The 25,581-nt window shown below is 42.3% G+C and overlaps 2 annotated features.

Annotated features, from left to right (window-relative positions):
• Positions 12,133-12,785: an enhancer, noted in NCBI's record as "H3K27ac-H3K4me1 hESC enhancer chr11:14443710-14444362 (GRCh37/hg19 assembly coordinates)". NCBI's record gives its function as "activates a minimal SCP1, AML or CMV promoter by ChIP-STARR-seq in naive H9 embryonic stem cells {active_cell/tissue: H9 hESC(naive)}" and the evidence as "EXISTENCE:reporter gene assay evidence [ECO:0000049][PMID:30033119]".
• Positions 12,252-12,546: an enhancer, noted in NCBI's record as "tiled region #800; HepG2 Activating DNase unmatched - State 4:PromP". NCBI's record gives its function as "activates a minimal TATA promoter and a strong SV40 promoter by Sharpr-MPRA in HepG2 cells {active_cell/tissue: HepG2}" and the evidence as "EXISTENCE:reporter gene assay evidence [ECO:0000049][PMID:27701403]".

The following is a 25,581-nucleotide window of genomic DNA, read 5'->3' as shown; positions in this document are numbered from 1 at the left end:
GCTATCCCTTCCCCCCTCCCCCCAACCTCATGGCAGGCCCTGGTGTGTGATGTTCCCCACCCTGTGTCCAAGTGTTCTCATTGTTCAATTCCCACCTATGAGTGAGAACATGTGGTGTTTGATTTTCTGTCCTTGTGATAGTTTGCTCAGAATGATGGTTTCCAGCTTCATCCATGTCCCTACAAAGGACATGAACTCATCCATTTTTGTGGCTGCATAGTATTCCATGGTGTATATGTGCCACATTTTCTTAATCCAGTCTATCATTGATGGCATTTGGGTTGGTTCCAAGTCTTTGCTATTGGGAATAGGGCCGCAATAAACATACGTGTGCATGTGTCTTTATAGCAGCATGATTTATAATCCTTTGGGTATATACCCAGTAATGAGATGGCTGGGTCAAATGGTATTTCTAGTTCTAGATCCTTGAGGAATCACCACACTGACTTCCACAATGGTTGAAATAGTTTACAGTCCGACCAACAGTGTGAAAGTGTTCCTATTTCTCCAAATCCTCTCCAGCACCTGTTGTTTCCTGAATTTTTAATGATCGCCATTCTAACTGGTGTGAGATGGTATCTCATTGTGGTTTTGATTTACATTTCTCTGATGGCCAGTGATGATGAGCATTTTTTCATGTATCTGTTGGCTGCACAAATGTCTTCTTTTGAGAAGTGTCTGTTCATATCCTTTGCCCACTTTTTGATAGGGTTGTTTTATTTTTTCTTGTACATTTGTTTAAGTTCTTTGTAGATGCTGGATATTAGCCCTTTGTCAGATGGGTAGATTGTAAAAATATTCTCTCATTCTATAGGTTGCCTGTTCACTCTGATGGTAGTTTCTTTTGCTGTGTAGAAGCTCTTTAGTTTAATTAGTCCCATTTGTCAATTTTGGCTTTTGTTACCATTGCTTTTGGTGTTTTAGTCATGAAGTCCTTGCCCATGCCTGTGTCCTGAATGGTATTGCCTAGGTTTTCTTGTAGGGTTTTTATGATTTTAGGTCTAACATTTAAGTCTTTAATCCATCTTGAATTAATTTTTGTATAAGGCATAAGGAAGGGATCCAGTTTCAGCTTTCTACATATGGCTAGCCAGTTTTCCCAGCACCATCTATTAAATAGGGAATCCTTTCCCGATTGCTTGTTTTTGTCAGGTTTGTCAAAGATCATATGGTTGTAGATGTGTGGTATTATTTCTGAAGGCTCTGTTCTGTTCCATTGATCTATATCTCTGTTTTGGTACGAGTACCATGCTGTTTTGGTTACTGTAGCCTTGTAGTATAGTTTGAAGTCAGGTAGCGTGATGCCTCCAGCTTTGTTCTTTTGGCTTAGGATTGTGTTGGCAATGTGGGCTCTTTTTTGGTTCCATATGAACTTTAAAGTAGTTTTTTCCAATTCTGTGAAGAAAGTCATTGGTAGCTTGATGGGGATGGCATTGAATCTATAAATTACCTTGGGCAGCATGGCCATTTTCATGATATTGATTCTTCCTATCCATGAGCATGGAATGTTCTTCCATTTGTTTGTGTCCTCTTTTATTTCATTCAGCAGTGGTTTGTAGTTCTCCTTGAAGAGGTCCTTCACATCCCTTGTAAGTTGGATTGCTAGGTATTTTATTCTCTTTGAAGCAATTGTGAATGGGAGTTCACTCATGATTTGGCTCTCTGTCTGTTAATGGTGTATAGGAATGCTTGTGATGTTTGCACATTGATTTTGTATCCTGAGACTTTGCTGAAGTTGCTTATCAGCTTAAGGAGATTTGGGGCTGAGACGATGGGGTTTTCTAGATAGACAATCATGTCATCTGCAAACAGGGACAATTTGACTTCCTCTTTTCTTAGTTGAATGCCCTTTATTTCCTTCTCCTGCCTGATTGCCCTGGCCAGAACTTCCAACACTATGTTGAATAGGAGTGGTGAGAGAGGGCATCCCTGTCTTGTGCCAGTTTTCCAAGGGAATGCATCCAGTTTTTTGCCCATTCAGTATGATATTGGCTGTGGGTTTGTCATAAATAGCTCTTATTATTTTGAGATACGTCCCATCAATACCTAGCTTATTGAGAGTTTTTAGCATGAAGGGCTGTTGAATTTTGTTGAAGGCCTTTTCTGCATCTATTGAGATAATCGTGGTTTTTGTCAGTGGTTCTGCTTATATGATGGATTACGTAGATTGATTTGCATATGTTGAACCACCCTTGCATCCCAGGGATGAAGCCAACTTGATCGTGGTGGATAAGCTTTTTGATGTGCTGCTGGATTCGGTTTGCCAGTATTTTATTGAGGATTTTTGCATCGATGTTCATCAGGGATATTGATCTAAAATTCTCTTTTTTTGTTGTTTCTCTGCCAGACTTTGGTATCAGGATGATGCTGGCCTCATAAAATGAGTTAGGGAGGATTCCCTCTTTTTCTATTGATTGGAATAGTTTCAGAAGGAACGGTACCAGCTCCTCTTTGTACCTGTGGTAGAATTTGGCTATGAATCCGTCTGGTCCTGGACTTTTTTTGGTTGGTAGGCTATTAATTATTGCCTCAATTTCAGAGCCTGTTATTGGTCTATTCAGGGATTCAACTTCTTCCTGTTTTAGTCTTGGGAGGGTGTATGTGTCCAGGAATTTATCCATTTCTTCTAGAATTTCTAGTTTATTTGCATAAAGGTGTTTATAGTATTCTCTGATGGTAGTTTGTATTTCCGTGGGATCGGTGGTGATATCCCCTTTATCATTTTTTATTGCATCTATTCGCGTCTTCTCTCTTTTCTTCTTTGTTAGTCTTGCTAGCGGTCTATCAGTTTTGTTGATCTTTTCAAAACACCAGCTCCTGGATTCATTGATTTTTTGAAAGGTTTTTTATGTCTCTATCTCCTTCAGTTCTGCTCTGATCTTAGTTATTTCTTGCTTTCTGCTAGCTTTTGAATGTGTTTGCTCTTGCTTCTCTAGTTCTTTTAATTGTGATGTTAGGGTGTCAATTTTGGATCTTTCCTTCTTTGTCTTGTGGGCATTTAGTGCTATATATTTCCCTCTACACACTGCTTTAAAGGTGTCCCAGAGATTCTGGTATGTGTGTCTTTGTTCTCATTGGTTTCAAAGAACATCTTTATTTTTGCCTTCGTTGCATTATGTACCCAGTAGTCATTCAGGAGCAGGTTGCTCAGTTTCCATGTAGTTGAGCAGTTTTGAGTGAGTTTCTTAATCCTGAGTTCTAGTTTGATTGCACTGTGGTCTGAGAGACAGTTTGTTATAATTTCTATTCTTTCACATTTGCTGAGAAGTGCTTTACTTCCAACTATGTGGTCAATTTTGGAATAAGTGTGATGTGGTGCTGAGAAGAATGTATATTCTGTGGATTTGGGGTGGAGAGTTCTTTAGATGTCTACTAGGTCCACTTGGTGCAGAGCTGAGTTCAATTCCTGGATATCCTTGTTAACTTTCTATCTTGTTGATCTGTCTAATGTTGACAGTGGAATGTTAAAGTCTCCCATTTTTATGTGTGGGAGTCTAAGTCTCTTTGTAGGTCTCTAAGGACTTGCTTTCTGAATCTGGGTGCTCCTGTATTGGGTGCATATATATTTAGGATAGTTAGCTCTTCTTGTTGAATTGATCCCTTTACCATTATGTAATGGCCTTCTTTGTCTCTTTTGATCTTTGTTGGTTTAAAGTCTGTTTTATCAGAGACTAGGATTGCAACCCCTGCTTTTTTTGTTGCTTTCCATTTGCTTGGTAGATCTTCCTCCATCCCTTTATTTTGAGCCTATGTGTGTCTCTGCATGTGAGATGGGTCTCCTGAATACAGCATACTGCTGGGTCTTGACTCTTTATCCAATTTGCCAGTCTGTATCTTTTAATTGGAACATTTAGCCCATTTACATTTAAGGTTAATATTGTTATGTATGAATTTGATCCTGTCATTATGATGTTAGCTGGTTATTTTGCTCGTTAGTTGATGCAGTTTCTTCCTAGCATCGATGGTCTTCACAATTTGGCATATTTTTGCAGTGGCTGGTACCGGTTGTTCCTTTCCATGTTTAGTGCTTCCTTCAGGAGCTCTTGTAAGGCAGGCCTGGTGGTGACAAAATCTCTCAGCATTTGTTTGTCTGTAAAGGATTTTATTTCTCCTTCACTTATGAAGCTTAGTTTGGCTGGATATGAAATTCTGGGTTGAAAATTATTTTCTTTAAGAATGTTGAATATTGGCCCCCACTCTCTTCTGGCTTGTAGAGTTTCTGCCAAGAGATCCACTGTTAGTTTGATGGGCTTCCCTTTGTGGTTAACCCGACCTTTCTCTCTGGCTGCCCTTAACATTTTTTCCTTCATTTCAACTTTGATGAATCTGACAATTATATGTCTTGGAGTTGCTCTTCTCAAGGAGTATCTTTGTGGCATTCTCTGCATTTCCTGCATTTGAATGTTAGCCTGCCTTGCTAGGTTGGGGAAGTTCTCCTGGATAATATGCTGAAGAGTGTTTTCAACTTGGTTCCATTCTCCCTGTCACTTTCAGGTACACCAATAACACGTGGATTTGGTCTTTTCACATAGTCCCATATTTCTTGGAGGCTTTGTTCGTTTCTTTTTACTCTTTTTCCTCTAAACTTCTCTTCTCGCTTCATTTCATTCACTTGATCTTCAGTCACTGATACCCTTTCTTCCACTCGTTCGAATCGGCTACTGAAGCTTGTGCATGTGTCACGCAGTTCTCGTGCCATGGTGTTCAGCTCCATCAGGTCATCTAAGGTCTTCTCTGTGCTGTTTATTCTAGTTAGACATTCGTCTAATCTTTTTTCAAGGTTTTTAGCTTCTTTGCGATGGGTTCGAACATACTCCTTTAGCTCGGAGAAGTTTGTTATTACCAATCGTCTGAAGCCTTCTTCTCTCAACTCATCAGTCATTCTCTGTCCAGCTTTGTTCCATTGCTGGCAAGGAGCTGCATTCCTTTGGAGGAGAAGAGGCGCTCTGATTTTTAGAATTTTCAGCTTTTCTGCTCTGGTTTCTCCCCATCTTTGTGGTTTTATCTACCTTTGGTCTTTGATGATGGTGATGTACAGATGGGGTTTTGGTGTGGATGTCCTTTCTGTTTGTTAGTTTTCCTTCTAACAATCAGGACCCTCAGCTGCAGGTCTGTTGGAGTTTGCTGGAGGTGCACTCCAGACCGTACAAATATCCTTTAAAAGATAGCTTAGACTGGGTGCAGTGGCTCATGCCTGTAATCCCAGCACTTTGGGAGGCTGAGTGGGCAAATCACGAGGTCAGGAGTTCGAGACTAGCCTAGCCAACATGGTGAAACCCCATCTCTACTAAAAATACAAAGAATTAGCTGGGTATGATTGCGGGCACCTGTAATCCAAGCTACTCAGGAAGCTGAGGCAGGAGAATTGCTTGAACCTGGGAGGTGGAGGTTGCAGTGAGCCAAGATCGTGCCACTGCACTCCAGACCAGGTGACAATGCAAGACTTCATCAAAAAAAAAAAAAAAAGATAGTTTAGAACAAAGATGATACAAGATATGCAGAAATTCCATGGAGAATTGTCTCCCAAGACTGACCCATATGAGATAATACATTTGTCATTTTAAGCCATCAAAGTTTAGAATAATTTATTATACAGCAATAGATAGTACACCCATATATTTTTATCTCTAGTGCTTTGCTCCTTTGCATAGATCTAGATTTCTATTTGGCATGATTTTCCTTTTGATTGGAGTATTTCCTTGAACTTTTCTTGCAGTGGTGTTTTGCTGGTGATAAATTTTTTCTGTTTTAAAAATATGTCTCAAAGTCTTTATTTCTTCTTTGTTTTCTGTTAAGCAGCTGCATTGCGGTATAATTTACATACTGTAAAATTTACCAATTATAAATTTATAAATTCAGTCATTTAGTAAATTAATAGAGTTGTGTGACTATCATCACAATCCACCCAACAAGTTTTCCACCACCCAAAAAGTTTCCCGATGTGCATATAATAATTAATCTTCACTTCTACCCCAACCCAAGCAACCAGTTAACCTGCTTTCTGTCTCTTTAAATTTGTTTTTGCCTATGGATTTTATATAAATAGAATCATACATGTAATTTTTTTGCTTCTAGCTTCTTTCACTCAGCATCATGTTTCAAGGTTCACCAATATTGTGGTATGTATCAGTAGTTTATTCCTTTTAATTACTGAATAATATTCCATTTATAGATATACTACATTAGGTTTATCCATTCACCACCTGATGAACATTTAGTTTGTTTCTGTTTTTGTGAGGGGCTATTATGAATAATACTGCTATGAACATTTGCATATATGCCATAAGGTAGATATATGTTTTCATTTATTTTGGTTAGGTTTATAGAAATTGAATTGCTGGGTTGTACTGCTGAGTTTGTGCCTACTTTTTTTTTTTTTTTAAATAGAGACAAGGTCTCAGTATGTTGCCCAGCCTGGTCTCAAACTCCTGGCCTCAAGTGATCCTCCTGCCATGGCCTCCCAAAGTGCTGGGATTATAGGACTGAGCCACTGTGTCAGGCCTGTGCTTGTCTTTTTGAGGAACTGACAAACTGTTTTCCAAATCAGTTATACTGGTTTACATTCTCACGAGCAATGCATGGGGGTTCCAATTTCTCCACATTCTCACAAACATTTGGTATTGGATATTTTAGGTTTTTTTTTAAGGTATATCTTTTTTTTTTTTTTTAAGAGGTGGAGTCTCACAGCGTTGCTCAGATTGGCCTTGAATTTCTAAGTTCATGCAATCCTCCTGCCTCAGCCTCCTGAGTAGCTAGGACTGCAGGTGCATGCCTGGATTATCTTTTTTATTATTGCCCTTCTGGTATGGTGGCATTGCATTGTGATTTTAATTTGCATGTTATTGACAAAGATGTTGAGCATCTCTTCACATGCTCATTAGCCATCTGTTTTCCTTCTTTGGTAAAGCGTCTCCTCAAAATTTTTGACCATTTAAAAATTGAGTTATTTTTCTTTTTTGTTATTGAGTTGTAAAAGATTTTTATAAATTCTGGGTACAAGTTCTTTATCCCAACCTATGGCTTCTGTTTTCATCTTCTTAATGGTATCTTTTGAATGCAAAAGTTTTTTATTTTGATAAAGTCCAATTTATCAAAATTTTATTTTATGGCTTGTACGTTTAGTGTCATGTCTAAAAGTTCTTTGCTCAACCAAAGGTCATGATTTTTTTTCTCCTATGTTTTCTTATAGATGTCTTATAGTGTTAGCTCCAATGTCTAAGTCTATAATCCATTTTGAATTAATTTTTGTATATGGTGTAAGGTAAGGGTTTGAGTTCACTTTTTTGTGCATGGATATTTAATTTTCCCAGCACCATTAGTTGAAAAGACTATTCTTTCCCTCATTGAGTTGTCCTTGCTCCTTTGTTTAAATCAAGTGACCATAAATGTAAGGTTTTATATCTGGACTATTAATTATGTTCCATTAACCTATATGCATATCTTTCTGCCACTACCACTCTCTTGATTACTGTGACTTCATAGTAAGTTTGATTGCCTTTATTTATTTATTTATTTACTTACTTATTTTTCCAAAATGGAGTCTCACTCTGTCACCCAGACTGGAGTGCAGTGGCATGATCTCGGCTTACTGCAACCTCCACCTCCCAGGTTCAAGTGATTCTCCTGCCTCAGCCTCCCAAGTAGCTGGGATTACAGGTGCACGCCACCATGCCCGGCTAATTTTTGTATTTTTAGTAGAGACGGGGTTTCACCATGTTCGGCAGGCTGGTCTCGAACTCCTGACCTCAAGTGATCTACACACCTTGGCCTCCCAAAGTGCTGGAATTACAGGTGTGAGTCACAGCACCTGGCCAATTCCCTTTATTTTTGAAAGACATTTTTTGTTAGGTATGGAATTCTAGGTTGGCGTTTTTTTCTTTCAGCACATTAAAAATGTTACATTACTCTTTTTGGGCTTGCATAATTTCAGATGGGAAGTCTGATATCTTTTTTGTTTTTTCAGAGATGGGGTCTTAGTTGCCCAGGCTAGAATACAGTGGCTATTCACAGGTGTGATCATAGCACACTGCAGCCCCAAACCCCTGAACTCAAGTGATCCTCCTGCCCCAGCATCCCATGTCATTTTGCTCCTCTCTGCAACATCTTTTTTTCTCTAGCTGTTTGAAGATTTTCTCTTTATCACTGGTTCTAAGTAAATTGATTATGGTGTGCCTTAGTGTGTTGTCTACATGTTTCTTCTGCTTGGGATTCATGGAGCTTTTTGGATCTGTGGGTTTCCAATTTTTATTAAATTTGGAAATTTGGGGCTATTGTTTCTTCAGGTATTTCTTCTGTCTTCTCCCTGTCCTTTCCTTTAGGATTTCCAATTACATATATATTAAGGACTATTTAGTTCACTGATGCTCATTCCTTGTTTTACATCTTTTTTCCTATGTTTTATTTTGGATAGTTTCTATTGCTATGTCTTCGAATTACTAATATTTCTTCTGCAACATCTAATCTATTAGTTCCATCTTCTATATTTTTTATCTTAATATTGCAATTTTCATCTATTTAAGTTTGATTTAGGCCTTTTGTGCATCTTCCTTCTCTCTCCTCGACATGCTTATGCTTTCCTCTGTCTTCTTAAACGTCTGAAATGTATTTATAAAATCTGTTCTATTGTTCTTATCTTCTATCATCTGTGTCATTATGGGCCTGCTTCTATTGATTGATTTTCTCCTCATTATGGACCATAATTTCCTGCTTCTTTGCATGTCTGGTAAGTTTGAGTCAATGCCAATATTGTAAGCTTTACATTGTTGGGTGCTAGGCTTTTTTATTCCTTAATTGTTTTGAGCTTTGTTTCAGGATGCAGTTAACTTGCTTGGAAACAGTTTGATGCCTCTGAGGTTGCTTTGAAACTTTGGGAGCACAGTATATTCTAGGAGTAATTTGGCTCCTTTATGAGGCAATATCCTTGTGGGTATTTTTCCCATGCTCAATGTATTATGAGATTTATTCACCCTGGTTGTTAGGAATATGAACTATTTCCAACCTTGTGTGAACACCAAGAATTATTCCACCTGTTTCTGTGAAGTGTGCTTTCTCCAGCCTCTAGTAGCTTCCTCATATGCATACAGTCTTTAGTACTCAGATGAAGACTTAATGGGAACCCTTTGCAGATCTCTAGAGTTCTCTCTATGCAAATTTCTCCCCCTGATACTCTGCCCTGTGAATTCTAGCCATCTTGGCCTCCCTGAATAATCAGCTGTCTCCTCAACTCAGAGAATCTTCCAGCTCTGCCTAGGTTACTCTTTTATGCACTACAGCCTGGAAACTGCAGACAGTAAGCTTGTGCAGTATTAGGACTCATTTTTTTCTCTCTCTCTCTTTCAAGGATCAGTGTCCTGCACTATCAGAAACAGTTATGTATAATTTTGTCTGCTTTATAATTGTTTTTTTTCTTCTTTTTCTTTTTCTTTTTTTTTTTTTTGAGACAGAGACTCACTCTGTCACCCAGGCTGGAGTGCAGTGGCGCTATCTTGCTCACCTCAACCTCTGCCTCCCGGGTTCAAGTGATTCCCCTGCCTCAGCCTCCCTAGTTGCTGGGATTACAGGCATGTGCCAACACGCCTGGCTAATTTTGTATTTTTAGTAGAGGGGGGTTTCTCCACGTTGGCCAGGCTGGTCTCAAACTCCTGACCTCAGGTGATCCACCTGCCTTGGCCTCCCAAGTGCTGGATTACAGGTGTGAGCCACTGCACCTGGCCTATTGCTTTATAATTGTTTTAGGCAGGAGGTTAAATCCAGTGCCTGTTATTCTTTCTTGGCTGGAAGAAAGTCTTCTAATAGCCTTCTAAATTTTCTCCAGGTATTCTTTCTCATTGTTCAAATTTGGTCCACATGCACTGGAGTGGACTGGGAACATTGAGATAAACAACTGTAAAATAGAATATAAAAGCACTTATAATCTCCAATAGTAATAACTCTGATAAATGTAAAAACTCCTATAATTCCTCATGCTGATAACTCTGATTAATGTTTTGTGTATTTTATATTTCCTTCCAGTCTTCTTTCTGTCTTTTGATTATGTATGGTTTTTACATCAGTCCTCTGCTTACTTGGCCTCTTTTTAGCCTTTGACACTAATGATTACTCCCTCATTCTTAAAATTTTGTACACTAGGCCGGGCACGGTGGCTCATGCCTCAAATCCCAGCACTTCGGGAGGGCGAGCTGGGCGGATCACCTGAGGTCAGGAGTTTGAGACCAGCCTGACCAACATGGAGAAACCCCATCTCTACTAAAAATACAAAATTACCCGTGTGTGGTGGTGCATGCCTGTAATCCCAGCTACTCAGGAGGCTGAGGCAGGAGAATTGCTTGAACCCAGGAGGCAGAGGTTGCCGTGAGCCAAGATCGTGCCATTGCACTCCAGCCTGGGCAACAAGAGTGAAACTCCATTTCAAGACAAAACAAAACAAAACAAAACATTGTGTACTATTAGCTTCTAGGAGATACCTCTCCTGATTTTATTTCAATCCTTTCAACCCCTAAGAATTCCCTCTCACAGTCTTCTTTACAAAAATTCCTCTTCCTCCATGTCCCCTTAAATATTGACTTCTTTCTTGCTTCTCTTCTCACTGGATATCTAAATTCTCCCTTAGTGATCTCATCTGTTACCCATGACTTCAGTTGTCTGCTTGTGACTCACAAATTGACATTTCTAAATCTCTCTCCCCAGTGCTCCAGACCTATATAGTCAATTGCTTGATGTATATTTCTACTTGGACATCTCACATTGTGTCTCAAACACAACTCATCTTCCTCCAAGAACCTAAACTGCATCATGGTTCCATCTCAGTGCATGGCACTATCATCTACCTTACTTCTCAAGCTAGAATCACAGAAACTATGCTCAACTCTTCCTTCTTTCTTCTTTTTAACCCCCACACATTTAATGAGGGCATCTAATTTTTTACTAGTTTATCTCCTAAATATCTCTTTTCTTTAAGCCTATATACTAGTTTCCCATACATTCCTGTTGTTCACATTTTTTTCTGTCAATTGAACTGTTGCAACAGCCACTTATTTGACCTCTGGATAAGTGCCGGATGCATTGTGGTCTTTGCAAAACATCAGTTAAATCATGTCACTCTCTTGTTTAAAGAGCTCCAATAGTTCCCCTTTACTTATAGGATAAAAGCCAAAACCTTTAGCTTAGTGTGAACAAGGCCCTTCACAGTCCACCTCTAAACTCTCTTTCAGCCTTGCTCCCGGCTGATCTCATGTGTATCATTCCCCAAATACAGCATCCCCTCTGCCTTTGTGCTGTTCTTTCTGCCTGGCAAGTCTTTCTGCATCTTCTCTGTTTGATAAATTCCTTCTCATCTTTCAATATATATCTTAAGTGTCCCCTTCTTCAGTGAGTTCCTCCCTGAACCCGTCAAGAAGTGCTTCCCCTCATTCCTCTCATGCTCTGCCAGTTCTTTCCTCCAGCCACTACTGCACTTGTTACAGTGCCCTGTAGTTATGCATTTACATCTATTCCTCCTGCTAGACTGTGTACTCTTTAAACAGTGGCCATCTTCTTCCTCTATGTACTTATCTCTCTAACAAGGGCTCAGTATCATAGCCATTCAATAAGTGTTTATATAATACTTGGTTTCCTAACCTGAGGTCCATGGATAGGCTTTGGAGGGCCCCTAGAACTCCATAATATTGCATATAAAATTATGTGTTTTGAGGGCATTTTCCTGGAAGATTCATTCTGGTCACCAGATTTTTCAGGGGGACCCTAGATTAACAAACAGTTAAGTACCCCTACCTTAGGAGAAAACTGTAGCCAAGGAGTTGGTTTGGGAAACCTAAATCATAGCCAGAGCCTAAACTTCACATTGGGCTTGATATGACCTTTTGCTGCTGCTGATGTCAGTCAGTCCTGTGAAGAGGAGAGAGAGCTGGAGGGAGGGGCATACAGCAACTCTCCACTGCAGGTGGGAACATTCAACATTCTCAACTCTCAAAGCCCACGACCGTTCTCCCCCTACTTCCCACCCCCAGCTTTCTCTTTCATGCTCATGAGCACACATCCTACATGAATGCAAATTTGAAACTCAAACACACACACATACACTTCTGCATGCACACAAATACACACACAAACACACAGCTAGACATGCACACATGCATTCATCCACACGCATACAGACAAACATGTGCAAACCGGCCACATACACATGGGCACTCTGGATAATACACAGCTTCACTCCTGCATGGTCCATGTGAAACACACACACACACACACACACACACATCCATGCATGTGAAACTCGTACGACCTCCCTCCTGCTGAGAACGAGTGCTGCCCCTGGCATCAGGCCCGTGGAGACAGCCGAGTGGAGCCATCTGTCAGGCTGAGGTTCCTGAGCGCCTCCCATCCTGCCTGAGCTCAGCTGGTCGGCATGCCGGGCATGCAGCCTTGCTATTCTCTCCGGCTGAATCATGCTGAGTGAGCTGGCCCAGCTAGGGTTTATCAAATCGGAACAGAATTTTGGCAAAACAGATGACTTGTGAGTTTGGCATTTGTGGACTTGGGAGGTGGAGACCTGTGGGGTGGGGGAGGAGGGGGGAAAGGAAAAAGGGAGAAAAATTGCTTCTGGATACACTGAGATATGCTGGAGAACTGAGTTCAAGAATGTGGCAGAGGAGCTTAGGTGCCAGATGTAAAGTCAAAAAAACCCTATTCAAGTTCCAGCTCTACCACTTAATAGCCACGTGACTTTGAACATGTTAATTTACCTCTTTGAGCCTCGGTTTCTTTTGTTTGTTTTTGTTTTTTTGAGACTGAGTCTCGCTCTGTTGCCCAGGCTGAAGTACAATGGCACAGTCTTGGCTCACTGCAACCTCCACCTCCTGAGTTCAAGCAATTCTCCCTGCCTCAGCCTCCCCAGTAGCTGCGATTACAGGCATGCACCACCACGCCTAGCTAATTTTTGTATTTTAGTAGAGACAGGGTTTCGCCATGTTGGTCAGGCTGGTCTTGAACTCCTGACCTCAGGTGATCCACCTGCCTCAGCTTCCCAAGGTGCTGGGATTACAGGTGTGAGCCACCACGCCCGGCCTGAACCTTCTTGGTTGCTTTTATAAAATTGATCTAATAAAATCACCTAACTCATATGATTGATAACAGATTTCTGTGAGACAGTACTTATCAATTAGTACAGTGCCCTGGCATGTAGTAAAGACTTAATAGACAGTAGTTATTACAGTCAGAGAACATGCAATTTCAAAGAGAACATATAGACCAACTAGCCCAACCTGGCTATCCCTTTTAACCCACCAACCCATCCCCGCTGGGCAACCAGGCTTGGTACCCTAACATGGTTCCCAGTCTTCACCTGAAAACCATATGCCCTCATCAACCTTGTGCTGCATTGGACACTTGTCTGGCTTCCTGGCTACTGTTCATCACACTCCCCTTTTGACCTGAGAACCAGCATTGCCCCTCCCATACCAGCCTTCCCCTCTTCTGCTTCTAGCTGCTCAGCTCATGCAGGTCCCACCACACCCATTACCTGGTTTGAAATGATAATAATAAAAACAATACCAATACATGGAATTTATTAAGCCCTTATTGTGTGCCAGAAATTTCCAAAGCAAGTCTAATTTAGTCTTCACAACTTTATAAGTAGACACTATTATTATCCCTATTTTACAACTGAAGAAACTGAGGTACCAAGAGATTAAGTAATTTGCCCAACATAAGAGATCAAGTGTAAAGACAGGCTATTATCTCATATATTCTAAGAGATAATAACTGACAATTAAACCATGTTACAATGCTGAGGTGCATTCTGATTTCAGAGATGTTTAAAATGTGGGGGAACGGGGGGGGAGGTGTGGAAAGTACATTATAGAACAATTAAAATGGGACCAGGATTTGACCTTGGGAAGTCAATCTGACTCAAGGGTCTGTACCACACTGTAATGCCCTCAATATCCCACTTATTGCACACCCTATGTAACAGACATTGTGCTAACTTCCTTTTTTTTTTTTTTTTTTTTTTGAGACAGAGCCTTACTCTGTTGCCCAGGCTGGAGTGGAGTGGCATGATCTTGGCTTACTGCAACCTCTTCCTCCTGGGTTCAAGCAATTCTCCTGCTTCAGCCTCCCAAGTAGCTGGGATTACAGGCATGCACCACCATGTCCAGCTAATTTTTGTATTTCAGTAGAGACGGGGTTTCACCATGTTGCCTAGGCTCCTGACCTTAAGTGATCCTCCTAACCGCAAGTGATCCTCCTGCCTCAGCCTCCCAAAGTGGTGGGATTATAGGCGTGAGCCACGAGGCCCCGCCACATTGTGCTAACTTCTTAATATGCATTACCTCATTCAGATCTTATTAACCATCCTTGTTCTACAGATGAGGGAACTAAGGCTCAGAAAAGTCATGATTTGTCCAAGGTAACATCGTGTCATGAAACTGGTGATAAATGCCCGGCCTGTCTGACTCTGGAGTCTGCTCTTAGCCATTATGCAACTCAGATACCTGCTCTCTGCCTAGGTGGTAGTTCCCACAGCTTCCTCCAGAGGATCCTTCAGGCTGGCCATGGGGCTGAGCCACAGCTGCTGTCCTGGTGACTTCCAACCCCAGACTTCATTTTCTCTCTATGTGGAGGAGAGGGAGTTTGTTGGGAGGAGGGGCACAGTCCTGGACTGAAAGGCAGAACACTGGGGTACTCGTGCTGTTCTGTCTGGGCACTGTGATCTCTCTCTCAGCAGGTGTCTCTTGTACTGGGTAACACGCAATCGGTAACATGGGAAGAATTGTCCTATTCTTGGTCCCCACCAAAATTAGTATACTCTTTCTGAGATTATATGTGAAAGACATCTGAATAAAGGGTTAGTACATTACTAGATTATGGGTCTAGCCCCTGACCAATGTTCCAGCCTTAATTCCCAAAATTTCCCACCAAACTTGGAAAATCTCCAAAGTATCCCTGCCTCTCTGCCTCTGTTCATGCCTTTCCACATTATCTGAAAGGCTTTTTCATCTTCACCTACCATAATTCTACTATCCAGAAGACCAAGTTCATAGACTTTCTCCTAAGAGGCGTTCATGGACAGCTGTCCTTGAAATGATCCATTTATTCTATCTAATCTTTGACTGTAAGCTCTCAAGAAAGGCATCACTCCTGGCCTTGCCATAATTATTAGTGTATAAGACATCTCCTGTATGGAGGACATGTTGGTTTTTGCCTGCCCAGCATCATCTCCCACTTTGGTAACAGCAACTTGATTTTCCTCTGGGGGACCACGTTCCCTCACTTTTAGTCGATATGATTTGGATGGGGTTAACCCCACCTCAAAATCCAGAGGCAGGCATGTGACTTAGGACTTTTAAATCAGAGTCACTGTGAAGGGTTCTGTGAAGGGCAGATGAACCATTGGGAATTACTTTTGCTGGAAAGATTGGAACAAGCAGCTCTAATTGCTGTGATTGGATGCAAACATGGAGCTGTGAAGTACTTTCACATGGAAAAAAAATCCTGAGAATGCAGCTACACAAGAGCAAGTTATAGAAAGAGATGTAATTTTGAGAATAATATTGTTGGAAATCCTTGGATCTTAGATTCAGTGATTCCTGAAGCTGGAGGTAATCTTAAGCCCGGCTTCCTGACACACTCACTGGTAAGTGGAGTTGGATAGCCATAACTGACTTAGACTAATTGGGATCTAAGAGGATCCACCTCTGGAATTAGAGATTGAGCCCAGCTTTCTCCTGATCACATGCCTGGGGCAAATTAATTCTGCCCCCTACCCACATTCTTTTTTTACTTCTTAAACTAGTTTGAGTTGGGTTTCTGTAATATATAATTGAAAGATACAAACGCATCCTCAATTTGTTTATAAACTTCCAGAGGACAGAAGCCTGATCTTTTTAACCATATAACTCCTTAGGGTGTAGCACAGTTCCTGATAAGACAGAGGGTGCTCAAGGTGTGATGTTTGATGGATGGATGCTCACTTCATTCAATCCCACTTTTCCTGAGCACCTACGATGAGCTAAGCTGAGCACGGGAACCACAAGGAATAACCGATCGAAGTGCTTGCCCTCAAGGAGTTCTGAGTTTAGTAAAAGGAGAAGGTATGAAAACAAACATATTATAAAATAACCTGGGCTATAATAGAAATCTGAACACATTTCTGTGGGATCCCAGAAGGTTGGAGATCTGGGGAGCTGGGAATGTGGGGAAGCTTCTTAGAGGAGAAGATAGATCTGAGTCGAGTTCTTAACAAAAAGAAGCTCCTAGGCAGAGAATGGCCGGGCGCGGTGGCTCACGCCTGTAATCCCAGCACTTTGGGAGGCCAAGGCAGGAGGATCATGAAGTCAGGAGATCAAGACCATCCTGGCTAACACAGTGAAACCCGTCTTTACTAAACATACAAAAAAAATTAGCCAGGCGTGGTGGCAGGCACCTGCAGTCCCAGCTACTCGGGAGGCTGAGGCAGGAAAATGGTGTGAACCTGGGAGGCAGAGCTTGCAGTGAGCCGAGATCGCACCATTGCACTCCAGCCTGGGTGACAGAGCGAGACTCCGTCTCAAAAAAAAAAAAAAAAAAGTTCCTAGGCAGAGAAAAACTGTCCCAGGGATGAGGTTCCAGGCGGAGATAGCAATATTATATAATTATATTAATATAATTAATAATATCTCTATCTCCTCTTCTTCCTGGGACTTCTTCACAATCTCCTTCCTGTTTTCCTCTGCCTCACATATGGATGGAATCACTACAGTGATTAAGAGCACAGGCTCTGAGTTCTGACAGATTTTCATTCTGCAACTTAACCACCCAAATGACCTTTAGCAGAATCACTTGTGTCTTACAAATAAGCACAGTAGTTGCATTTGCCTTGTAAGGTTGTTTAGAACATTTTTAAAAATTACCAGTATAAAGTGTGAGCCTCCACAAGCCAATTCTCAAGAAATGTTAGCTGCTATTATTTTTATTGTCAGTTAAGAACCTTTAAGGACCAGGGAACAGAAAACCTAACTCGAACTGGCTTAAACAGTAAGGAGATTCTTCACAGTACATAATGGGGAGTGTTGAAGTAGAGCAGGCCCCAGGCATGGAATAATCGGGGCTCTGACTCCATTTCTCTGTAGTGCTCCCAGCTCTGCCCTCTTCTTTGTATTGGCTCTGTCTACAGGCTAGCTTCCCTCATTGTCCAGAGACGGCTGTGTCACTGTGTCCTGAGCAACTGTGACAACATGCTTCCTTGTTCACATTCATCTAACAGAGAAAAAAATCTCCTCCCCAAACAGAAATATAAACCCTTCCTTTCAATATGCTTAGGCTAGTTTAGGGTATGTGCCTGCTTCTGGACCAATGACAGTGATCAGGGGGATTCCCTATGTTGATTGGCTTAAGCCTGGCTTCCTAACACACTCACTGGTAAGTGGAGTTGGATAGCCATAATTGACCTAGACTAATTGGGATCTAACAGGATCCACCTCTGGGATTAGAGATTGAGCCCAGCTTTCTCCTCATCACACGGCAGCATCTTGGCAAAGGGAGAAGGGTTCTGTGAGAGAGAAGGAAGGAATAACTGGATGTTGGCTGGACAATCAACTGCATCTTTTGTGATGATTCCTATTGCATTTTTTTGCATGTGAGTTCACATGGGTCTTTTAAGGCCATGGCTCAAATGGTTCCTTCCTGGTGAGGCTGACAATGGAATCAGCTACAGAGAATAGCACATGGCTCCCACCTCTCTCCCTCATTCCTCTCCTCTGCGCTTCCTGTCGCCCTCGCTCAGCATTAGTTTTATCTAAAGTTTTATCACCACCTGACATGTCATACTTTTAGCTTTACTTGTTTATTATGTCTTCTCCCTCTAAAATATAAATTACATGAGAGTAGAGGTTTGGAGTTGTTCAGTTTTGTACTTCTAATGTCTAGAAGAGTCCTGGCCCACAGTATGCACAACATAACAATTTGTTGAGTGAATAAAGTCTTCTAATCAGAGCCAGACTCCTTGGATCATCTCAGAGGTTGTCACCCAGCTATGGGGCCTGGGAATGGTCTCTGCTTTCACAGCTTCGTTTCTCCTCTTTCTGCTCTGTCTCTCTATCTATTTGCCCCTTGTCTATTCCTCAGTCTCTCTAATATCCATCTGCTGAGTAGGCTCATATTTGTCATTTTGCTTTCTTCCTACACAGCATTGATTGCAAATCTTTTTCTTCTCCCTTTTCATGCTGACTACCTCTTATTCTCTACATGCAAAATATTAAATATTTTGTGTTCAAATAAAGCTAAAAGAGCTGAGTGACCCTTATATCCTGCAAATATTTAAGACAGGACATCTCATTTTTTTGAGAACTTCATTTATGTTTTTACATACGTGTTTGAGAAATCCATACGGAGTGTATTACTGTAGGTGCTTCCATGTCTACCATTCCATGGCTTCCCGGATTTGTATCCTCTTTTTTTTTTTTTTTTTGAAACAGGGTCTCACTCTGTCACCCAGGCTGAGTGCAGATGTGTGATCATGGCTCACTGCAGCCTCGACCTCCCTGGCTCAAGTGATCCTCCCACCTCAGCCTCCTGAGTAGCTGGGACTACAGGCCCACACCACCACACCCGGCTAATTTTTTATTTTTTGTAGAGATGGAGTCTTGCTGTGTTGCCAAGGCTAGTCTAAAACTCCTGGGCATAAGTGACCCTTCCACCTTGGCCTCCCAAAGAGCTGAGATTATAGATGTGAGCCACTGTGCCTGGCCCTGGGTTTGTAACCTCTTTGAAGTCCTCTTTAGTATGAATATTTTTAAATTTTAAGAGAAAAGCCTCTGCTTTCTCCCATACCACTCCCACCCTAAAATCTGTCTGCCTCTAGTAAGGGACATGTAAGAAGGCATTGTTTTCTTATGTGATATTTTCTGACTGTAGGACTGGACAAAGGAACAATGATAAAAATAACAATAGAAAATATGTATTTGTCTAGCACTTTACAATAAACTGTTACCATTGTTCTTTTCTTAATTATAAAATTCATATGAGCTTACAAAATATTACTTTTTTTTTTTTTTTTTTTTTTTTTTTTAGCAAGGCTCTGTCTCCCAGGCCAGAGTGCAGTGGCACAGTTTGGGATCACTGCAACCTCTGCCTCATTGGTTCAAGCGATTCTCCTGCCTCAGCCTTCCAAGTAGCTGGAACTGTAGGAGTACGCCACTACGCCCGGCTAATTTTTGTATTTTTAGTAGAGATGGGGTTTCACCACGTTGCCCAGGCTTGTCTCAAACTCCTGACCTTAAGTGATCCTCCTGCCTCAGGTTCCCAAAGTGCTGGGATTACAGGTGTGAGCCACTGCACCTAGCCTACAATTTTTTTTAGTGGGATCGCATTGCACCATGGTGTTATTGGGCTTTCAGAGACTGAGAGAGGTTATCTAATAGATATGGCTAGGAGGTGGAAGAGCCAGAACTAGAACCTGGGCCCTGTCATCCCAAAGCCTTTGCTCTTCTCAGTGCCCCCGTTCCAGGCATTCAACTTGGCCTTCGCCTCCCTCTCTGATGATGTGAACGTGTAAGTGGGTGTTAGTTGTTAGGCTTACTTGATGACTCAGAACAGCTGCCTTCCCCTCTGAGGTCGGGGGTAACCCCAGGTAGGTACTGCCCACCCAGGAGCCTGTGGCTTCCTGCCTTCTTCAGTTCAAGGGTTTATCAGATAAGGCGGAGCCTTAAAATGCTCATATTTCCCAGAACACATAGTTTGATTTGACAAGCACAGGCTGCAAAGACTGACCAGAGGACAGGGAGTGTGTGGTCATGGGTAAATAGCAGTGGAGACTGGAAGAGTCCAGGGCTAACAGCCTCTTCCTCCAGTCCAGCATCTGTACCCCCAGGGCCTCAGTATCTATAACTAGTGAGCCTATGTCCCCAGATAGGGGTCCCTCCTCCACCAGAAAGTGAACTTTAGAAAGCCAGATGGTCTCAGCCCTCACAGGCTTCCAGGAAACCTCAACAATTCTAAGAAGACCCCATTTCCTGCTTCACACCCAGAGCCTGAGTCTTTGGTGGGGAAAGGGAGGGAAGCCTGTGCCACCCCCTGCTCCCTCCACCTCCGATCCTTGCCCTAGGCAACCCCTCTGTTTGAACAACTTCTCATAGAGACAGCACATCTCTATGGGGTGTTGAGAGGGGGCCTCCCAGCTTATCCAGACTCTAGGATCCCCCTCTTCTCTGGGATACCTTTCACACCCATGTCTCCTAACCCAGATCCTTCTGTTACTCCCGAGCTAAAGACAGGCCCTAGAGGTGAGCCAAAGCAACTGACAGCCCTAAAGGCATTTCAATGTGGTTATGACATTTAATAAATCAATGTTTCCCCGTATGGAAGTCATATAGCATTGGTAGGACAGAAAATAATTTTAAGTTTCCACATGAATATCAGCATTAAAGAATATTTAATTACCCCCTTTTTCATTCCTTTTCAATACTTTTGATTATATCAAGAAGAATGTCTCCATTAGGTGCTAGTAGTTCTTTAACATCCCTCTGATACCAGTAAGACTCACCATGAAGAAAAGAAGAGAGGGCATAAATAAATAATATTAAAAATAAAAACAGGATTATAGCAAGCACTTTCTATATAATGTTTTAAAAGATAACCTTTCAAAAGCAACAACATTGTTTACGTGTAGAAATAAATCTCATAAAAGATGTACGCCTAGTCTTTATCAAGAAAATTATATAATTTTAATGAAAACTATAAAGTAAAACCTAAACAAATAAGATCCAGCATGGATGGGAAGAAAACTCAATATGATAAAGATGTCAGTTCTTCCAAATTATTCTAGAAATTTAATGCAATCCCAATCAATATTCTGAATGTGTGTGTGTGTGTGTGTGTGTGTGTGTGTGTGTGTGTGTTTAATTTTTCTAGCTGATTCTAAAACTTATTTGGAAGACCAAACAGAGCTGCTATTTTATATTTTATATAGGGTGGCCTGGGAAGGCCCTTCTGAGGAATGATGTGTGAGGAATGAAGCATTCTAGGTAGGTTGAGCCAAGGCTTTGAGGTAGCAGCTTGCTTGGAATGTTCCAAGAATACGAGGTCAGTGTGGCTGACTGAATGAATGGCAGAAATGAGGTCAGAGAAGTAGCCAGGGGCCAGATGACATGGGGCCTTGTGGACTGCGGTAAGAGCTCCGAAATTTACTCTGTAATGGGAGGCTGTTTGATTTTTTGAGCAAAGAGTGATCCAATTTAATTTGAACATTAAAAATGTTTGAAAGAGCTGAAAATATTAAGTAAGCCTCTGTGTGGGCGGTATGGAAATGCAGTTAAAACTGTGAAGGAGGCACATGAATGACTGAAATTTTGAAAATTCTGCATGAAGTAATTCCTTAAGTCACAGATTTGGTCTTTCTAATTTAGCTGAGCCCAAACAGAATGGGAAAGGAATCTGAGTTCTTGGAGCCAATGCTGACAAATGTGTGGGAGGGGCAGGCCAGGCCCAAATCTTCTTCCTGCTGCTTTGGCTCATGGTGGATGTCCCAGGGAATCCCCCCAGTGGCTGGACCTCCAATTACAGCCTCCCAGAGAGTGAGTCCAAAAAGCAGCTACTCTGAAAAACATCACAGACCTCAAAACTAGTGAGATTTAAAGAAGGTTAGAGCTGAATGGGACTCCAGAGAGAATAATAAAAATGAGAAATTATAATAACACGTGCATGTCCCTAAAGACAATCATTATCTTCTCTCAAAAACTGTTCCTTCTCTGGCATTCCCTAGTCCAGTAAATGGCACATTATTCACTCAGTCAGCCAACAAAGTTTTATTAAGCCTATACTATATGTCAGTATTGGATTCTCTCTAACAAGCAAAATTGACATAGGCTCTGCCCTCATGGAGCTACCAGTCTGATATGGGGAGAGAGACAGTAAACAAGTTATTACAAAACACTTAGCACTGTGAAAGAAATAAATAGAGTAGTGTGGTAGAGCAAGGATCAGCAAACTAAACAGAGGTCATATATGGCTTACTGTCCTTTTTTTGTAAATAAAATTTTATTGGAACACAGACATACTCATTTGTTTATATATTGTCTATGCTTGCTTTCATGCTACAATGGCAAGTTTGAGTAGCTTGTAACAGAGACTTATAGCCTTCAAAGCCTAAAATAGTTACTATCTGGCCATTTACAGGATAAGTTTGCCTACCACTATTATAGAAGATAATGGGATTATTGGTGAATGACAAACAAAATTAAAACAAACAAAAACAAAACAAAAGAAGATAATGGGGGAGCCGGTCTCCCAGTAATGTCCAATAGAACTTTCTGAAATGATGGCAGTGTCCTGTATCTGTGCTGTTCATTATGGTAACCACCAACCACATGTAACTATTGGATTTGTCGCACTTGGGTTTAGCTTCCCACTTCCACTTCTCCAGTCAGTTTTGGCCAAAGGGTGATAGGGTCACATGGTAAAAACAGGGCTTCCCTTAGCTGCCTTTTGCAGAGACAAGGAGCGGAGTATTTACCCTTAGGAAGGGCTGTGGGTGTAACAGTGGAGTTAGTTGATGTGTTAACTACCATCCTGTAATGTCTGCATTAGCTAGGTGCCCGAATCTGTGATGCTATGATTCTCCCTGAGGCTTTGGCTCTTGGGGGGCCTGGATCTGTGACCTAAATTAACTCCCTCTATAGCCAGAAGTTCCCAGATGGTTATGATTGCTTGGTTGGGGCAAACACATTCTTTTCCCTCCATGCCCCCAACCAGACCTCCTCTATTCCTTCCCCCATTTAGAGACACTTCAGCAAGGGAGGGAAGGACAAAGCCTCCCACATGTGGGTCTCAGAGCCACAAAGAATAGTGCAGTCCCTTGGGAGGAAGCCTGCTGCAGAGGCTGCTGGAGAATTTCTGATTTTCTGCTTTGGGTCTTAATAACTCAGGGATGATGTGGTCAGGGCCTAAGGGGATCATTTTGTAATTTCACCCCTGACAGCATTGGCTTGGGCTCTGATGCTTGGGCCATCTCTGACTCAGAGCTGAGTTAAATAATTAAATCTGCTGCCTCCCAAATTTGGCAGGGATGGGGGTGGGTGGTGGCTGCACAGGTCCTGTGAATCTCCTAGGCAGGCAGAATGGGTTTTACTTAGCCATGTGGCAGGGGAGGGAGGCCTGGAAATTTTCCATTTCCAGTACACCTTCCCTAACTGCTCCGAATGCCTAAAAATAAGCCAGTGGACCCTTACCTTACCTGGAGGCTTTGTTTCCAATGAAAAGCAACTCCCTATACTGCCCAAGACTGTCCTTGGAGTTAGCATCAGTCCTATGGGCTTTAGAGAGGACTGAGTTTCATGTCCTTTCCTCCTATTGGGTATGGAAAGGGAGATAGCAGGGAACCATGAGAGCCCTAGAGTAATGTGTGCATGTGAGTGTGTGTGTGAGTGTGTGAGAGCATATGTGTGTGAGCGCACGCATGTGTGTGTGTGTGTGTGTGTTGGGGATAGATGTGGGAGGTGGGATTGAAAGAAGAAACATGTTCAGAATTGGGGCTGAGTAGCACTCAATGCAGATGTTCGCAGGGCTATACCTCTAATAAAAACCCATGTCTTATCCTGGCTGTGCCACTCATTCTCTATATCCTTGATTGAGCAAGTCTCTTAATCTCCCTGGGCTTCAGTTTCCTCATTTGTAAAATGAAGTGATTGGGTGAGGAAGTATCCAAGGGTCCTTCCAGTTCTGCGTCACTGGACCGGAAACACATCCCTTCTGGAGGAGGGCTGGTGAGGGGAGGCAAGTTCCAGTGGAATCTCTCCTTTCAGGCTTTCAAATAGCAAGAACAGTACAGCAGCACACGCCCAGGAGGAAAGGTGTGGGCGGTCTCACAGGGAAGCACAGACTGCCCTGAATCTGGCCCCTGCAAGTCTCACCTCCAGTCCAATTAGAAAACGGTGTCCCTTCTTCAAGACATGTTACTTCGGTTTACCAGAAAATTGTCTTAATAACTCTACAGATCTACAATGCCTGAAATGTGAAGAGCACTCCTCAGAGCTCTGCAAAGCACAGTGGCCTGCCATGCTATCACATGCTCTGCCATGGGCAGGTTGCAGGCTTAGGAGGTACTGGGTGCCATAAAGACCTTGCCATAGAGCAATGGTTTGCAAACTGCTGGGCCCCACCCCAGCGTTTCTGATTCAGTAGTTCAAGGGTGGACCCTGAAAATATGCATCTCTAACAAGTTCCCAGGTAAATCTGATGCTACTTGACTGGGGACCACACACTGAGAACCACCACTGTAGAGTGTGAGAAGCCATCTAGTCCCCTTCCTCCACTCTGCATCCTTTCTTATGGATTAGTAAACTGAGGGAAAGTGAGTTGTCAGCATCACAGGGCTGTGATCAGATTTCTCATCCAGTCCTCTTTCATTTATTTATTTATTTATTAGAGACTAGGCCTTTCTCTGTTGCCCAGGCTGGTGTGCAGTGGTATGATCCTAGCTTATTGCAGCCTCGAACTCCCAGGCTCCAGCAATCCTCCTGTCTCAGTCTCCCAATTAGCTTGGATTGCAGATTCAACTCACTGCACCTTGCCAGTCCTCTTTCTACTCCATCATCTTGCTATTTCTTGAATAGTGATATTAATGGAAAATCCAGCATCTTCCTCAGCCTTCCTGGAGGTCTTTGAGGAAAGGGGAGGCTAAGTCAGGGCTCTCTGGAGGCAGGAGAAGGACCTTTCTAGCCTCTGGCAAGCCATGGGAAGTTCTTTCTCAAACTCAGGCCATACCAGCACAGGTGAAGCCTGAACTCATTATGGGACTCTGGCAGGGCATGTGGCGGCAGTTCCCTCCTCACCCCAGAAAGGGGAGGCTAATTCAGAAGGAAACGTGCCAAGCTGTGGTTTCCTGCTCCAGCTCTGCCCCACCTTGCTAACCTTGAGTGAATTGTTTGGCTTCAAGGTCCCAAACCTTTGTTCCATACACACAAAAATTCCAAATCCAGTTTGACTAATCCTGCTTGTGCTTGAATGCCTCCAGTGAGCAGAAACTCATGCCTTCCCAGGCATCATCGTAACTTCAGCTAAATATCCAATCTCAGAGGAGAATTTCTCCTGGAGAAATATGTGCATAGATGCCTAAGGTTTTCTTAAGGCCCAGCACTTTGTCTTCCCGAGATGAGAAGGGCTTCCTTATGCTGTCAGCTAAGTAGGTGATCTACAAATATTTGTTAAAGGAATGAAATGAGGTGAGGTTGGGTGGGCGGAGTGAAGCTATCAAGAAGACCATTTTATCAGCAGCTACTTAGAGGTGCAGATCTTGCAGTGTTCACATGGCTGCTACCGCCTTGTGTGATCTGGACACTGCCTGCCTCTCCTATCCCATCTCACACAACCTTCCCTCACACTCACTCCTTTCGTGACTACATATTTATTTGTGTGACTGTTTGAATAATGTCTGTCTCCTTCCCTAGACTGGATGAGGGCGGGGACAGTGATGGTTTTGCTCACCAATGTATCCCTAGCACTTAGCAATGTACCTATCACATAGTATATGCTCAACACATACTGTTTTTGAGACAGGGTCTCACTCTGTCACCCAGGCTGGAGTGCAGTTGCACCATCTTGGCTCACTGC

This window comes from Homo sapiens, chromosome 11, assembly GCF_000001405.40.
Source record: "Homo sapiens chromosome 11, GRCh38.p14 Primary Assembly".
In the NCBI taxonomy this organism is placed as follows: Eukaryota; Metazoa; Chordata; class Mammalia; order Primates; family Hominidae; genus Homo; species Homo sapiens.
This window is presented reverse-complemented; position numbering and strand designations above follow the sequence as displayed.